Raw genomic sequence first — 17,739 nt, forward strand, 5'->3', positions numbered from 1 at the left:
AAATTCCGCGTTAGAGCATAAGCTTTCATGAAGCTGTACACTCACTCCAAACACAAAACAACCTGAGACCTTCTTGGCCTTTGTTCATCATTGATGAGTGTTTGCTTGTTCTTTTAGTTACATTAAACTCTTTTATTCATTTTTACTTTATACTGGCTCCCCATGTTCTTGTTGCTGAACTGACAATCCTTCATTTTAGCTGTTTGACAGCTTATACGCCCTGCCTGCCAGCATCAATATTTACTAATGGACACTTTATCTTACAAAAGCTGTTTTCAATCAAGAAAGATAATGAAGAAATTACATGACCCTAGACATGTAGCTACCAGTCACCACGGCCTGTGTCATTTGGCTTCTTTGCCATCTGTGCCCAAGCAACAGGGCAGGGCAAGGAAAGGATAGAGGAGCAGAGATAGCAGAGGAGAACTCCAAGGAGAGAGAAGATTGATGATTCAGAATCAGGAAGGGAACAAGTTTTTGTAAGCCTGTTTCTATGGCCCAGACATTTTACATGCATGCTCCTATTTAATTCTCAAAACAATGCTAAGAGATTATGCCTAGTCCTTTTGATTTTTTCTTAAATGAAGAAAAACTGAGGATCAGAGACAAATGATTGGCTCAAAGGAACAGAAACAGAAGTGAGAGAAACTGGTTATTATGCTAAGTCCCTGAAATTTGGAACTGTCCAGAAAAGATTTGAATCCAGGCATTATCCATAGAATTAGGTAACCTTGAACAAGTTGTGTGTGTGTGCATGTGTGTGTGTGTGTGTGTGTGTGTGTGCATGTACATTTAGCAAATTCCTTTTTTTCCCCCCAAGGCTTATAGTTTTGTGTTTTTTAATTTTTCTACTTTATCTTAGGTTCAGGGGGTAATGTGCAGGCTTATTACATGGGTAAATTGCATGATGCTGACACTTCGTGTATATGAATAATCTCACCACCACACCTGCCTCCTACCCCCTACTTTGTTTATTGTTCCCATGTTTATGTCCACGTGTATTTAACCTTTAGTTCCCATTCATAAGTGAGAGCATGCAGTATTTCATTTTCTGATCCTGCGTTAGTTCGTTAGTTCATTTAGGATAATGGCCTCCAGCTGCATCCATGTTGCTGTAAAGGACATGATTTCATTATTTTTTATGGCTATGTAGTATTCCACAGTATATATATATATATCATTTTTTGTAATCCAGTTCACTGTTAATGGGAATCTTAGATGATTCCATGCTTTTGCTGTAATGAACATATGAGTGCATGTGTCTTTTTGGTAGAATGATTTGTTTTCCTTTGAGTATATACCCAATAGTGGGATCACTGGGTCAAATGGTAGCTCTGTTTTAATTCTCTTAGAAATCCCCACACTGCTTTTCATAGTGGTGGAACTAATTTACATTCCAACCAGCAGTGTGTGTTTCCCTTTCTCTGCAACCTCACCAGTATTTGTTGAATTTTGACTTTCATAACAGCCATTCTGATGGGTGAGAGATGGTATCGTATTGTGGTTTTGATTTGCATTTCTCTAATGATTAGTGACTATGAACAGTTTCTCATGTATTTTTTGGCCACACGTATGTCTTCTTCTGAGAAGTGTCTGTTCATGTCTTTTGCTCATTTATTAATGGGGCTATTTGTTTTTGCTTGCTGATTTGTTTTAGTTCCTTATTCTGACTATTAGACCTTTGTCAGATGCATAGTTTGCAAACACTTTCACCCCTCTGTAGGTTGCCTCTTTACTCTGTTGATAGTTTCTTTTGCTGTGCAGAAGCTCTTTAGTTTAGTTTGGTACCACTTGTCAATTTTTGTTTTTGTTGCAATTGCTATTGAGGACTTAGTCATAAATTCTTTGTCGAGGCTGATGTCCAGAATGGTATTTTCTAGGTTTTTTTCTAGAGTTTGTATTGTTTTAGGCTTTACATTTAAATATTTAATCTATCCTGAGTTAATTTTTGTATATAGTGAAAAGAAGGGGTCTAGTTTCAGTCTTCTGTATATGGCTAGCCAGTTATTCCAGTAGCGTTTATTGAATAGGGAGTCATTTCCTCATTGTTTGTTATTGTTGACCTTGTCAAAGATCGGGTGGTTGTAGATGTGTGACTTTATTTCTGGGTTCTCTATCCTGTTCCATTTGTTGACGTGTTTGTTTTTGTACCAGTACTATGCTGTTTCAGTTACTGTAGCCTTGTAGAATAGTTTGAAGTCAAGTAGTGTGATACCCTCTGTTTTGTTCTTTTTGCTTAGGATTTCTTTGGTGAATAAGGGTTTTTCGGTTCTGCATGAATTTTAGAATAGTATTTCTAATTCTCTGTGAAATATCACTGGTAGTTTGATAGGAATAGCATTGAATTTATAAATAGCTTTGGGCAGTATGTCCATTTTAGCAATACTGACTCTTCCCATAAGTGAGCATGAAATGGTTTTTCTTTTGTTTGTCTCATGTCTGATTTCTTTCAGCAGTTTTTTCTAATTCTTGTTGTAGAAATCTTTTACCTCTATTGTTCACTGTATTCTGAGGTATTTTATTCTCTTTTGTGGCCATTATAAATGGGATTGTGTTCTTGACTGAGCTTGGATAATACTAGTGTATAGAAATGCTACTGATTTTGTACATAAATTTTGTATCATGAAACTGCTGAAGTCATTTATTAGTTCTAGAAGCCTTCTGGTGGAGTCTATGGGGTTTTCTTGGTATAGAATCATACTGTCTACAAAGAGATATTTTGACTTCCTCTCTTCCTGTTTGGATGCCTTGTATTCTTTCTCTTGCCTTATTGCTCCGGCTAGCACTTCCAGTACTATGTTGAATAAGAGTGGTAAGAGTGAATATCTTTCTCTCATTCTGATTCTCAAGGGGAATGCTTCCAGCTTTTGTCCATTTGGTGTGACGTTGGCCACTGGTTTGTCATAGATGACTCTTATTATTTGAGATATGTTTATTCAATTCCTAATTTGTTGATGGCTTTCAAGATGAAGCAGTATTGAATTTCATTGAAGGATTTTTCTGTATCTATTGTGATGATCACATGATTTTGGTTGTTAATTCTATTTACGAAGTGAATCACATAACCAATCCTGCATCCCAGAAATAAAAACTACTTGATTGTGGTGAATTAGCTTTTTTGATGTGTTGCTGGATTTGATTTGCTAGTATTTTGTTGAAAATTTTTGCTACTATGTTCACCAGAGATATCAGCATAAAGTTTTCTTTTTTTGCTGTTTCTTTGTCAGGATTTGGTATCAGAATAATGATGGCTACATAGAGTGAGTTAGGGAGGATTCCCATCATCTTGATTTTTTGGAATAATTTCAGTAGGATTTGTACTGGGCTTTCCTTATATTTCTGGTTGAATTCAGCTGTGAAGCCATCTGATCCAGGACTTTGTTTGTTTGGTAGGCTTTTTGTTACTGATTCAATTTTGGAATTTGTTATTTGTCTGTGCAGGATTTTAATTTCTTCCTGGCTTTATCTTGGGAGGTTGAGTGTTTCTAGGAATTCTTCCATTTCTTCTATGTTTTCTAGTTTTTGTGCATAGAGTGTTTGTAATAGTGTCTGAGAATTTTTGTTGTTGTTGCATTTTTGTGTGGTTGGTGGTAATGTCCCCTTTATCATTTCTGACTGTGTGTATTTGTATCTTTTCTCTTAATATTTTTATTAATCTAGCTAGTCTATCAATCTTGTTTAGTCTTTCAAATAACCTACTTTTAATTTCACTAATGTTTTGTATAGATTTTCACATTTCAATTTTGTTCAGTTAAGCTCTGATTTTGTTTATTTCTTTTCTTATGCTAGCTTTGGGATTGGTTTGCTCCTGTTTTTCTAGCTCCTGTACGTGGCACAGTAAGTTGTTAATTTGAGATTTGTCTAACTTCTTGATGTTGGGGTTTAGTGCTATGAATATTCCTCTTAATATTGCTTTAACTATGTTCCAAAGATTCAGGTATGTTGTGACTCTGTTTTCATTAGTTTCAAAGAATTTTTTAATTTTTGCTTTAATTTCATTCTTTATCCAAGAGTAATTGAGAAGCAAGTTGTTTAATTTCCATAAATTATTGTACGGTATTAATAGATCTTTTTGGTATTGATTTATATTTTTGTTGCTCTGTGATCTTAGAGTGTGGTTGGTATGATTTTGATATTTTTGAATTCATTGAGACTTGCTTTATAGCTGAGCTGTGATCAGTTTTAGAGTCTTATATGTGTCGTGTGCAGATGAGAATATATATTCTGTTGTTGTCAAGTGGAGTATTCTGTAGCTGTCTATTAGATAAAATTGGTCAAGTGTTTAGTTTAAGTCCAGAATATCCTTGTTAGTTTTCTGCCTTGATTATCTGTCTAATGCTGTCAGTGGGATGTTGAAGTCCCCCAGGATTGTGTGATTGTCTATATTTCTTCATAGATGTCTAAGAATTTGTTTTATGAATCTTGGTGCATTAATGTTGGTTGCATATATATTTAGTATAGTTCAGTCTTCTTGTTGGGTTGAGCCCTTTATCATTATGTAATGCCTTTGTCCTTTTTGATCATTATTGTTTTAAAGTCTGTTTTATCTGGTATAAAAATAGCAACTCCTGATCTATTTTGTTTTCCATTTACCTGATCTTTCTCCATCCCTTTACTTTGAGCCTATGGGTGTCATTGCTTGTGAGATGAATCTCTCAAAGACAGTAGAGAGTTGGGTCTTGCTTCTTTGTTCAATGTGCCACTATATGCCTTTTAAGTGGGGGCATTTAGCCCATTTACATTCAGGGTCAAAATTGATATGTAAAGATTTGATCCTGTCATTGTGCTGTTAGCTGGTTATTATGTAGACTTGATTGTATAGCTCTTTTATTATGTCAATGGGCTTTGTGCTTAAGTGTGTTTTTATGATGGCAAGTATCATTCTTTCATTACCATGTTTAGCACTCCCTTTATGACTTCTTGTAAGGTAGGTCTAGTGGTAAATTATCCCCTAAGCATTTGCTTGTTTGAAATTAACTTCATTTCTTCTTCACTTATGAGGATTAATTTGATGGCATATGAAATTTTGGCTGGAATTTCTTTTCCATAAGGATGTTAAAAATAGGCCCCCAATTTCTTCTGGCTTATAAGGCTGCTGCTGTAAGGTCTACTGTTAGCCTAATGGGGTTCCCTTTATAAGTGACCTACCTCTTCTCTCTAGCTGCCTTTAAGATTTTTTCCTTTGCTTTGACCTTGGGGGATCTGATGATTATGCGTCTTGGAGATGGTCATCTTGCATAGTATCTTGCAAGGGTGTTCTGAATTTACTAAATTTGTTTGTTGACCTCTAGTGGGATTGGGAAAATTTTCATGGACTATATCTTCAAATATGTTTTATAAGTTGCTTGCTCTTTGTCCTTTTCTTTTAGGAATGTCAATGAGTCATTTGTTGGTCTCTACATAATCCCAAATTTTTCAGAGGTTTTATTCTTCTTTTAAATTCTTTTTTATTTTATTTTTGTCTGCCTGTATTGCTTTGAAGGAGCAGCCTACCGCTTCTAAGAGTCTTTCCTGAGCTTGGTCTATTTTTTTGATAATGTTTCCAATTGTATTTTGAAATTCCTGTAGTAAATTTTTCATTTCCAGAAATTTAGTTTTGTTCTTTCTTAAAATGGTTATCTCATTATTCAACTTTTGGATCATTTCACTGATCCTTTGGATTAGGTTTCAATCTTTTCTTATATCTATCTTAATGAGCTTCATTGCCATCTAGATTCTAAAATCTATGTCTGTCATTTCAATCATTTCAATCTTCTTGAGAGCCATTGCTAGGGAGCTAGTGTGATCATTTGCACATAAGAAGACACTAGCATTTAGAGTTGTCAAAGTTCTTGTGCTGGTTCTTTTTCTTCTATGAGGGCTGATGTTCCTTTATCCTTTGAAGTTGCTGTTCTTCCAATGGGACTTTTTGGTTTTATGTTTTTATGATCTTTATTTCCCTTGAATTTTCTTTTTGAGACAGGGTCTTACTCTGACACCCATGCTGTAGTACAGTGGCATGATCATGGCTCACCGAAGCCTTGACTTCCTGGGCTCAACTGATCCTCCCACCTCAGCCTCCCAAGTAGCTGGGACTATAGTCATGTGCCACCATGCCTGGCTGATTTTTAAAACAAAATTTTGTAGAGATGGATTCTCACTATGTTGCCCAGGCTAGTCTCAAACTCCTGAGCTCAAGTGATTTTCCCACCTCTACTTCCCAAAGTGCTAGTATTACACGTGTGAGCCATCATGCCCAGTCTTGAGAGTTTGACTGTGGTGCAAGCTTGGTGTAATTGAATGACTTTATTTCTGGATGTTTTCAGGGGGCTCAGGCTCAGCTCTGCACTCCTGGGTTGCCTGCTCTAACCCTGGGTGGCTGGGACCAGGTCTGCAGCTTTGTCCTTTAGCCCATCAAGATTGAGTGTTGCCTGAGCTTGATGGGCTAGGATGCTCCCAGACTGCTGGCAACAGCACTCTGTAGGGGCGAGTGGGGGGTCATGGGTGTAAGTGCTCCAGCAGGGGTGGGAGGGGCACCGTAGATGCGAAGCATGGCAGCAGTGGCAGGTGCACTGGGGGCAGGAAGCACTCCAGCAGGGACAGAAGGGGTACTACAGGCAGGAAGTGCTTAACGTGAGCATCAGGGGTGCCATAGGCAAATGTGCTCCAAGCGGGTAGTGATAGGGTTGCAGGAGAACACATTCAGATGGGAGGCTGTCAGCAAAAGTGCTCTGGTAGGGCAGCAGGGGTGCTTGGACAAAACCACTATGGTGGTGGACATTGGCAAAAGTGCTCTGGTGGGGTAGTTAAGGCTGTGCTCCATGCAGACATGGCTAGGCAGGGACTCCGAAAGGGACTGGTGGACAGTGGGGTTCACAGATGAGATTCATCCTGGACCTGCAGGAAAGACAGCCCTGCTCTCTCCAGGTCTAGTGACTTACGTAACTCAGAGCCATTCAGGGCCTGGAACATGTCCCATATTCAGCAACCCCAAGAAGGATTCCCAGCTTCCTCTCCCTTTCATCCTGGTGTCTGGGTTGTCTTTCTAATCTCTTTTAGTTCATTCCTTCAGATGATCTGTTCTGAGTATGCTGATTTACTGGATATTTTGGTCTGTTTTTGTGGGAGATGTTCTTCCTGGTGGCATCTAGTTAGGTGTCTTGCCTTGGATACCCAGTCCAAATTTTCAGTATTAATTTCCAAGCATATAAAATGAGAATAATAGAAGATCAACTCTGATGGTTTACTATGAGGATTAAATAAGATAATGGATACAAAGTTTTTAGCCCAGTTTCAGATACAAAACAACTGCTGCAAATGTAACAAGCTTTTACAGTTTTATTCTTATTACTACCAAAATGAAATGATGGCTCCAACATTTAAATGTGAGCCTATTCCCCTTTGAATTCTATGTTATTTCCACGCTATCATGAAGCCTGGACAAGTCAGTAAATAAAAGGAGTAAGAAAGAAAGGGCAAGAATAATATATTAAAAAGCTCTCTCCATCCTTAAAACAGGCTTCATTATGTTGATTAGACTACAGGAAGAGCCCTCTGTAGCCCAGATTAGTACTTCCAAAATTTCAGAATTTACCAAGTTTAGTCATACTCCAGCTTTCTGGGTAGCATAATGGTACTTTATTGCCATGCTTAAGTTGATTCCTTTATATTCATATCATAGTTTTATAGTAAAATTTGCTCTTTATCAACACATATAGCATACTTATTGTGTTGATAAAGTGGCAGAATACAATGTATTTGAAGCAGAATACAACCTATTTAAGTGAGAGAAATATGTTCATACTTTATTCATGCTACTCTAAAATCATAGAATCCTCAATTTTTATAGTTCCCATAGGTAAAATTGTTTATAACTTTAATCCTTTGAAGATGAAAGAATGTTAAAAACTTAAAAAAATATAATCCTGAAAGCCTGGACATCTGTATACTACTTTAAACTCAACCTTGTACTGTGCGACCTTGGCCAATCTGTCTGTTGGTATTTCCAAAGTTTTGGAAATAAGGAAAATAAAGCTTTTATTTTTTATATTCACCTATGATAATATGTTTTGCACAGCACTAATTCATATATTGATGAACAGGTGTTCTCTTTCATTTCTGCTTTTTTATAAACATGACCTGGTCTATTAGTCAATCAATGGTCTTAGTCTGTAAAAGGTGGATGCATAATCAGTATTTAATTACTAGGCATGTTATTGTCATTGATTCCTGGAAAATGTGAGAATAGCTAAAAATCCTCACTTTTTATAAAAATGCACATGAACACATGCTCACACAATAAGTCCTGAATTTCAGCAGAAGCACGTACTCCCTACAACCCAGCCATGAATGGGTCCACACCACTAAGATTCAGTTTCACTCTACTTTTCTAGTCCAGACACCCACCACAAGCCTAATATGGCAGTTGTTCAACAGTAAGTATGCTAGCCGCATTATCTGACATCAGCTTTATAAAGAGCTAGATAGAACACTGTCTTTGAAAAAGAGAGGGTATGATTTGGCTGAGAAGCCAGAAGAAAGAAATGAAGTAGGAGAGCCTGATTGCTGTAGGCATGAGAGGTGACAGCACAGTGTAAAGCTCTCTGCACCACTCTGTCTAATGGCAGAGTTCTACCACCTCTCTAGGGACAAACTTGGACAGGTTCTCCCTACAGCAGCCAAGCGTGCTATTCTCTCTCCTTTTATTAGCAAGGCGTCTTCCACTGAAACCCTCCTCTGCCCAGTGCCATGTACTATCCTAGAAGAGAAAGACTCTGAGCCTGGACTCCAGCCCTTTCTCTATGTTGAATTTTAGAATCTTCATGACTTACCAGATGAGATGGTTTTACAAATGAGATGGCATCTGTGAATTGTCAGAGTGGCTGGCACAGAGTTGATAAAAACAACACAAAACAGCAACAAAAACCACTAGTTTTCTTCTGAGTCTTTTTTTTTTCTGATGATCTCCTTATTTTCCCACCTTCTTGTATATGACCTCATAACTCTTCATCAGATTTCATGACCCTTATTTCTTTACACAGCTGCCTTTCTGTATTCTAACAGTATACTCCAAGCATGATGCAAATGGTCTGGGGTATAGTTGCTAGAAAATGAAGGATGAGTGTATAAAGCAATAAATGAAAAACTAAATGTATAAATAGAATTGTAATAACGTATGCGCATATGCCTGATACTTAGGTTATAGAAAACTCTTGGTGAATGTCCCTTCCTCAGGAAAGCCTGCTTTGACCACATAATGTAGCCTTTACAGAAAGTTATGATTATATTTTTGTGGTTAGTTTTTGTCTTTCTTATAAAGACAAAAGACAGTAATCTTGTGTTTTTGTTTTTTGATTTTGTTCAGTTAGGAAGAAGGTTTACTCCTGGAACAAACATTGTACCTGGGTCAAATATTGGTCCTCAGTGTATGTGAGTAGAACAAATGAGTCACTCACTTCTGCCTCCTACCTCCCATTTCTCCTTATTCTCCCCTTCATCTTTCCTTGTATCCTTTTTATTCGCTTTCCCTGGTTCTCACATTTATTCACCTCTTCTCTCTTTTTCACTCATTTAAAAAAATTTATATATGACCTTCCATCTTTTCTGCAAAATATAAAAACATTGTAATTGACGAAAATGAACATAAAAAATGTGATGTTGATATTAATAGTAATAACTTATTTAAGGTGTGCAATATGCCAGACATTATTCTAAGCATTTTACCTAAATTAACTCACTTAACCTTCCCAGAAATCCTATGAATCAGGTACTACTCTAGTCTCCAGTTCACAGAAGGGAAAACTGAGGCTTGGAGAAGTTAACGAGCTACTCCAGGTTATGGAGCTAATAACTGTCAGAGATGGCTACAAACCAGAGGGTTTAACTTCAGAGTGTTAGGTCTTTAACCATTTAGATACACTACCTCCCTAAAGCCTCAATGGCCTCAAGTAACACATTTTCCGAATCTTTGGAGAGCTTTGGATTTTATGATAAAATAAGATAGCTTTTAAATTTTCTTTGTTACTCTTTCACCAGTTTCTAAGAAAATTCACTTCACATTATCATTCTGAAAATAGATCTGACTGGATTGAAACTCTGAACCACTCTGGCCTCCCCTGCTGTCAACAGCAGCCAGTTCTTGATCTGGGGAATTATGGGTGAATCTTGAACCTGTCAGGCTGCCTGACCAGGTCCTTGTCCAGTGGGTGAATGACAGCAGCAACATTTCTGTGTCTACTTGATGTGCCGTCTGGGAGCAGCCAAATCTCAGAGCTCTGTGCAGGATATCTGCAACTAAAGCCCCTAGTAAAATGCTGTGTTATGAATGAAAGTGGGCATGAGGTCAGAATGAAGGCACTGGCTGGGAGTCAGCATACCTGAGCTATAATCTTTCTTCAAGATCCCCAGCTGTGTGATATGGGGCAAGCCACTTAACATTTTCAAACCTCCATTTCTCTAGCTATTATATAAAGGGGTTTGGCTAGTACATCTTTCAAGGTCCCATTTATCTATAAAATTCTCCGAAACTCATTTAAAACAACACACAAAAGAAGAAAAGCAAAATAATGAATTGTCAGTTCAGTCAATTTGACCCCGAGGCTGCAACTCTGAAATTTAAATCAGAGCCTATATGAAACTATCTTCTTCCCCTCTCCAAAGGATGTCACTACTGAGTATTAGAATACCAAAAAAAAAAAAAAAAAAAAAAAAAAGAGGGAGAGTAATAAGTGATGGCTTATGAAGAGCAGTAAAACAAATGAAAATCAGCTGTGAAGGTGAGTCAGGTGCTGGGAGGTGGTAGAGATCTGTAAGAAGGGACCATTAAAGTAAGAACAATGAAGAAGAAAAATGGGCCTAATGTGATCTGAGAGATGGAGCTGGAGACTATGTAGGGAAAAAGTGGTGGCTGAAGCAGAACTTACCTGAGTCTGAGGCTGGATGTGTTGTTAAATTTGGCTTTTAGGAATAGTCCTCTCAAAGTGACTCAAACAACAAAGAGGACTTATTTATGACCTCATAAAGTGGAAGGTCTTCAGTATGTTTCATTCAGTAGCTCAGTGGTCTCTCTAAGCAAGTAGCTTTCTTCTGTCTCTCTACTCTGCCTTCCTTTGTGCCAATTTCAACATCATTATAAGGCTGGCTTCACTCCTGGGGTCAAGATTGTTAAGCTACTTCTTGTACTACAATTTCCCAGTAACTACTAGTGGGTTGGTTTTTGATAGCTTACCCGGAAGGGCAAGTAACTATTTCTATAAAGCCCTTAGAAAATCTTCTCCCATGACTCATTGATTCAACTTTAATCACATACACATTTTTATATCAATGCCACTGACCATGGGCATGTTGTCCTCTGACTGGCTTAAGCCTCTGTTACCTGAATTAATCACTATAACAATGGGGTGGGGTTCCCTATGGGATTAGATAAATTTTAAATAGTACAAGAAGAGCTGGGACACTTAATCTCCTCTAAACCCATGGCTGCTTCCCAATGAAAAAGGAGAAACATGGGTATTGGCAGACAGCAACCATGGCTATATCATGAAAAGACAAAACAAAGCAAGAACAAATACTTAAAAGAAATGACAATGCAGTTTATCCTGAGAACTAGCTTCGATTGATTGGAGTACAATAGGCACTGAAAAAGGCAGCCTGAATGTCATGTGTTTGCAACTCTTGACTTAGCAGGAAAGCATATTAAAAAGAAGAAACATATGTTGCCTGATTTTCGAAATCCAGTTATTTAGAATCCAGAAAAGACAAGGCATGGCTAGGTAGCCTTCAGACTACATTTGGCCCTGTATCTGTACCATATTACCCTGTACTACTAAAAGTTGGGTTTACTTAATAGGCTTCTCAAATTCTGCAATTTTTGCCTATAGACTTGGCAGAGTAAATGAAAAAATTAAGACAAAATTAACACGACAAATGAAATGAGATGGAACTGAATTTGATGCATAAAGTCTTTATTACATCTAGGAGGGAATAAAAGGAGCAAACTGCATAGAACACAGTCTACAACCCATGATCATCCTGAACCTGTCTCCTGGTCATTAGTACATGGGCATCAGAGAATAGACGGAGATATTGCTCATTCAGTTTTCCAGGCTTAGACCTAACCTCACAAGTGGCGTGATACAATTGACAAAAGAGACAGGCAAAAGTTGGTAAATCACTGTGTACAAATATTGAATTCAATAAATATGTGTTTAGCATTACTCACGTACATATTTTTCTATAAGAAAATCTAGTAAATGTAGATATATGTTCTATTTAAAATAAATTTCCAGTCTACCTGGAATGTGGGTAGGGGTGGCCAGTGTTGATGAAGGTTCAACCAGGAAAATAAAAACTATTCTGAGGGGAAACCTAGTACAAGGAATTTATTACACAAGTGATGGAAGAGAAGAGAAGACAATGAGGGTCAGGGAGGCACCCCAAGACTATCAACAGCTGAACTACACAACCATCCCTAATTTTTAAAAGGAAAGGAGACAAATCGTGATATTGCTAGATTCTGAGACAAGGTCTCATAGAACCACAGGAAATTTGTCCAATGGACTAAACAGAGAAACAAAGGAGAACCAGCCACGAGTATAGACATCACCTAAGGTGGAAGTGGAGGTGGGTGTTGAGGGACAAATACTCTGAATTCTCCCATCCTCTCACCCTCCAATACCATTTCAGTGCTCCTGTTGTTTGAATATCTATGTATCTCTTCATATGAGATTCTGGACCATGCAGTATACAGGGCTATATTCCACAGAACAGAGATATGGAAGAAGAAAGTATTAAGCTTATGAAAACCAGGCAGGACTGACAGAAACTGTCATAATAGCTATAATTTCTTACTTACTATGTGCTAAAGGAGGATGCTAAATATTTTGCATACCATTTTATCTCGTCCTCCCAACAGACTCATGAGATAAGTTCTATTATCAGTCTTATTTTTTCAATGAGGAAACTTCCTTGGAACAGTTAAAGAAAACGAAAGAACTTCCTCAAATTATATGGCTTATTAGAGGCTGAGCCAAGATTCAAATCCGTGTCTGCTAGTCTGTCAAGCCCAAGTTTTCCACCCTAAGTTGATGACACAGACTACCATAGCAGGCAGGCTGTAAGATGTGTCATAACATGCCCAAGTTCTTCATGAAAATGGTAAGAGTTTGCACTGGGTGTATCTAAGAAGCAATTATAAAGGCTAGGACATTGGAGTTATTTCTTCAAAAATAAGAGCACAGAAATGAAATGGGCAAAAAAAGATATGGTGATAATTAGGGAAGCAGTGCTGGAGACACTAGTGCAAAAGGGAGAGAGAGCATAGGTATGAACAATGACAGGAAACTGCAGGACATTTTAAAGAAGGGCATGTGTGTGTGTGTGAGAGAGAGAGAGAGAGAGAAAGAGAGAGATCTAGTTTAAATATTGTACAGAATAACATTCAAAATATAGTTTAGAACCTGAGGTTAGAAGGCCTCTGATTTAGGCTAAGAGTGCATTTTAAAAGAAAACAAAAACACATATAATTTATAATAATTTTTTAATGTTTGCATAATTCATAAAACTCTTCTAAATCCATTATTCTCCAACCAGCCTTGATATAACTCAGACTATTTTTGCTGATTGTACATGATGGCACTGAGGCTCAAGAAAGGTAATCAACTTTCCAACTATTGCATACTGACAGAGTTTGCATAATTGTCCCTACCCAAATCTCATGTTGAAATGTAATCCCTAATGTTGGAGGTGGGGCCTGGTGGGAGGTGTTTGGGTCATGGGTGTGGATCCCTTATGGCTTGGTGCTGTCCTTGTGATAGTGCATGAGTTCTTGAAAGATCTGCTTGTTGTAAAGTGTGGCACCTCCCCACCCACTTTCTCTCTTACTCCTGCTTTTGCCATGTGACATGCTTACCCCTGCCTTACCTTTCACTATGAGCAAAAGCTCTCTGAGGCCTCTTCAGAAACCAAGCAGATGCCTGTGCCATGCTAGTACAGCTTGCAGAACCATGAAACAATGACATCTCTTTTCTTTATAAATTACCCAGTCTCAGGCATTTCTCTGTAGTAATGCAAGAATGGCCTAACACAGAAAATTAGTATTGAGGAGTGGGGCATTGCTATAAAGATACCTGAAAATATGGAAACAATTTTGGAACTGGAAAATGGGAAACTGGAAGAGTTTGGAAGGTTCAGAAGAAGATAGGAAGATGAGGGGAAGCTTGGAACTTCTTACAGACTGGTTAAATGGTTGTGACCAAAATACTGATAATAATATGGACAGTGAAGGCCAGGCTGATGAAATCTCGGACAGAAAATAAGAAAGTTACTGGGAACTGGAGTAAAAGTCACCCTTGTTATGGCTTAGCAAAGAGCTTGGCTAGCAAAGAGCTTGGCTGCATTCTGCTTATGCCCTAGGGTTTCTGTGAAAATTTGAACTTGAAAGTGATGATTTACGGTATCTGATGGAAGAAATTTCTAAGGAGCAAAGTGTTTAAGAAGTGGCAAGGCTGCTTCTAACAACATATACTCAGATATGGAAGCAAATAAATGACTTAAAGTTGGAAGGTATATTTAAGGGAAAAGAAGAGTGTACAAGTTTGGAAAATTTGCAGCCTGGCCATATGGCAGAGAAAGGGAAAACTTCTTCAGGAGAGGAATTCTGGCAGGTTGTGGAGCAACCACTTGCTATAAGATTTATGTAATAAAAAAGCTAGGTGCTGATAGCCACAAACATGGCAAAAAGGCCTTGAAGGCATTTCAAAGTGTGATGGAGGCACTCCCTTCCATCACAAGCCTGGAGGCCTAGGAGGACTAAATGGTTTTGTGGGCCAGGGCCAGGATGGTGCTGTCCCACACAGCCTTGAGACACTGCTCCCTGCATCCAGGCAGCTTCAGCTTCAGCTGTGGCTCAAAGGGCTCCAGTACAGCTAGGGCTGCTGCTTTGGAAAAGGCAAGCCACCATAAGCCTTGGCAGCTTCCATGTGATATTAAGTCTGCCAGCCCACAAAGTGCAAGAGTGAAGGGGGTTTGGCAACCTCTGTTTAGATATCAGAGGATGTATGAGAAACCCTGGGTGCCCAAACAGAAGCCTGCTGCAAATGCAGGCTCTCACTGAGAACCTCTATTAGGGCAGTATGGAGGAGAAATGTGAGCTTGGAACCCCAACACAGAGTCATCACTGGGGCACTGCCTAGTAGAGCTGTGAGAAGGGGGCCACTGTCCTCCAGACCCCAAAATGGTAGATCCACTGGCAGTTTGCACCCTGTGCTTGGAAAAAGCTTTAGGCACCTGCAAGAGCAGCTGCAAGGGCTGAACCCTGCAAAACCACAGGGATGGAGCTGCCCAAGGCCTTGAGAGCTCATCCTTTGCACCAGTGTACCCTGGATGTGGGACATTAAGTCAAAAGAGATTATTTTGGAGCTTTAAGATGTAATGACTACCCTGGGTTTCAAACTTGCATGGGAACTATAGCCCCTTTCTTGTGGCCAATTTCTCCCTTTTGGCACAGGAATGTTTACCTAATGCATATACCACCAATGCATCATGGAAGTAACTAACTTGTTGTTGATTTTACAAGCTCATAAGTGGAAGGAATTTACCTTGTCTTGGATGAGACTTTGGACTTTCAAATGAATTCTGGAATTATTTAAGACTTGGAGGAAGGTATGATTATATTTTATAATGTGAGAAGGATGAGATTTTGGGGTCCAGGGGGTGTAATGATATAGTTTGGATATATCTCTTGCCCAAATCTCATGTTAAATTGTGATCCCCAGTGTTGGACATGGGGTCTGGTGGGAGGAGTTTGGGTCATAGGGAAGGATCTCTTATAGTTTGGTGCAGTCCTCACCAAAGTGAGAGAGTTTTCACAAGGTCCAGTTATTTAAAAGTGTGTGGCACCTCCCTGCAAACCCCTGCTCCTGCTCTGCCATGTGAGATGCCTGCTCTTGCTTCATCTTCTGCCATAAGTCAAAGCTCCCTGAAGCCTCCCAAGAACCAAAGCAGATACCTGTGCCATGCTTGCACAACTTGCAAAACCATAACCCAATTAAACTTCTGTTCTTTGTAAATTACACAGTCTCAGGTATTTGTTTATAGCAATACAAGAACAGCCTAACACACATAGTAAATATTACATGAGAGTCAAGACTGGAACTCTTGCTGCTTAGCTCCTAATATCAGATCTCTTTGCATATAATCAATATGAATTTGTGAATAAATTATATATTTGGCTTCAAGACACAGCAACTAATTCTAGATAACTTAAAGGAAAAGAAGCCTCATTATAAGCATAAAAGAGAGAGTCATGTTTCCTTGAGGTAAAGATACAACTAAGACAGCCTGATACTGGGACTCAGGTGAAAAAAACCATGTTAATTTTATCTTGATCTGTTTAATCTTCTCCCAGACCAATAACTTTCCTCACTTTTTCAGTCCACTTAGAAAGAATAAGAAAGAGGGAGATACCCATGTCATCATAGAATCTGGATTTAAGTTCTAATAACCCAAAATTATCTCTCCCTCTCTCTCTCCACCCCAAACTCTCAGGAAGAAACTGTAACTAGACTAGTTTTGATCAGGCATCTCTGTTTAATCCAATCAGCATGAGAAATATGTGTATATAGTCACATAATTAAAAATGGTTGGCAGGAACTCCCAGTAAAGTGAGGTTACTGGAGAACATTACTTCAAATGGTATTTATCACACTATGACTGTATTATAAGAATTTTTCTACTGTCAGATGGGAGAAAAGGCCATGTTTCTGTTTATCAATAAAGGCTCTAGACCAGCACAGAAAGAAGCAGGATGATCAATTGCTCAGATTGCCTGAAGAGCAAACCCATGCCTCCTCCTGAGCAATGCCCATCAAGCAGAGAAAACAGAGGGAGTGCCTTAGGTCTCTCCATTAGTTCACATCCAACCTGGCGACTTCTAGTCCTCCAGAGTCTTTTGCTCAGGCAAAAGGAAGTCTGCCACATGAAGAAGATTAAGAAGACTCATTCACAAGTTGTTATTTCATTTTAAACCTGAGAACCTGACTCTCTGGGATGCACCACTCTTAATAAGCTTAGAATGAATTCGACATTTTATAATAAAAATGTCCCTTAGGTGGGTACAGTTAACAAAGCACCTTTATTGCTGTGATGTCATTTGATTCTCACAGCAACTTTTTATCATGGGAAAGATAGGAAAAGCTTTTTGTTTCCCTATTTCACACATGAGTCTACTGAGGTTCATAGAGGCTCACAGCATCATGAGGTAGTTTGTGCCATTTCGATTAGATGCCAGGTCTCTTTATTCCCAATCCAATGTTCTTTTCTATTATACAACAATTTTTACCTTGTAAGATCCCTCTCCTATTTCTTTCTTTTCTTAAATTTTATTAACCACCCCTCTTTGGCATCTCTTTATCACCTTAAATGTATTTTTCCTTCTAGAACATAAAATTGTTTGCTATAATTGAGTCTCTTTGTTTACAACCATGTTTTCCCTTTCATTGCCTATTGTTTCATTTGGAGATATGCAGCCAGCATTACAACAGGTATCTACTTTTCAACATGTGAGATGCTCATCTGATGAAATTACAATTCCTAGCTAAAAGAAGCACTCAAAATAAAGTATACACTGAAGAGAGACCCATGCCTGCACTGGATTACCTTGGTTGCTTGTCAGAACGTTATTACCCAAACTCCTTTTTCCCTTTCTTATCTCTTCATCTATCTTAGACTGTTCTTGCATTGCTATAAAGAAATACCTGAGAA

The 17,739-nt window shown here is 38.5% G+C and overlaps 2 long non-coding RNA genes across 8 annotated transcripts in view; one reads left to right on the forward strand and one right to left on the reverse strand.

Moving 5' to 3' along the window:
- LOC102724929 (uncharacterized) overlaps positions 1-10,946 on the reverse strand; it is an 88,452-nt gene extending 77,506 nt beyond the window's left edge. For 2 of the 7 annotated variants that reach the window (XR_930298.4, XR_007061892.1), the window contains exons 1-3: positions 10,902-10,946; positions 8,811-9,082; positions 6,921-7,225 (exon numbers count right to left, since the gene is read on the reverse strand). This is a non-coding gene — a long non-coding RNA (uncharacterized LOC102724929). Of the gene's footprint in view, positions 1-6,920; positions 7,226-8,810; positions 9,083-9,434; positions 9,583-10,901 lie in introns of all 7 variants that reach the window. The other 5 variants (XR_930303.3, XR_428592.5, XR_930302.4 and 2 more) reach the window with 4 other exon arrangements.
- LINC02578 (long intergenic non-protein coding RNA 2578) overlaps positions 1-17,739 on the forward strand; it is a 65,642-nt gene that overhangs the window by 42,142 nt on the left and 5,761 nt on the right. The gene's annotated exons all lie outside the window — the stretch shown is intronic.

Source organism: Homo sapiens, chromosome 9 (genome assembly GCF_000001405.40).
Source record: "Homo sapiens chromosome 9, GRCh38.p14 Primary Assembly".
NCBI classification, from domain to species: Eukaryota; Metazoa; Chordata; class Mammalia; order Primates; family Hominidae; genus Homo; species Homo sapiens.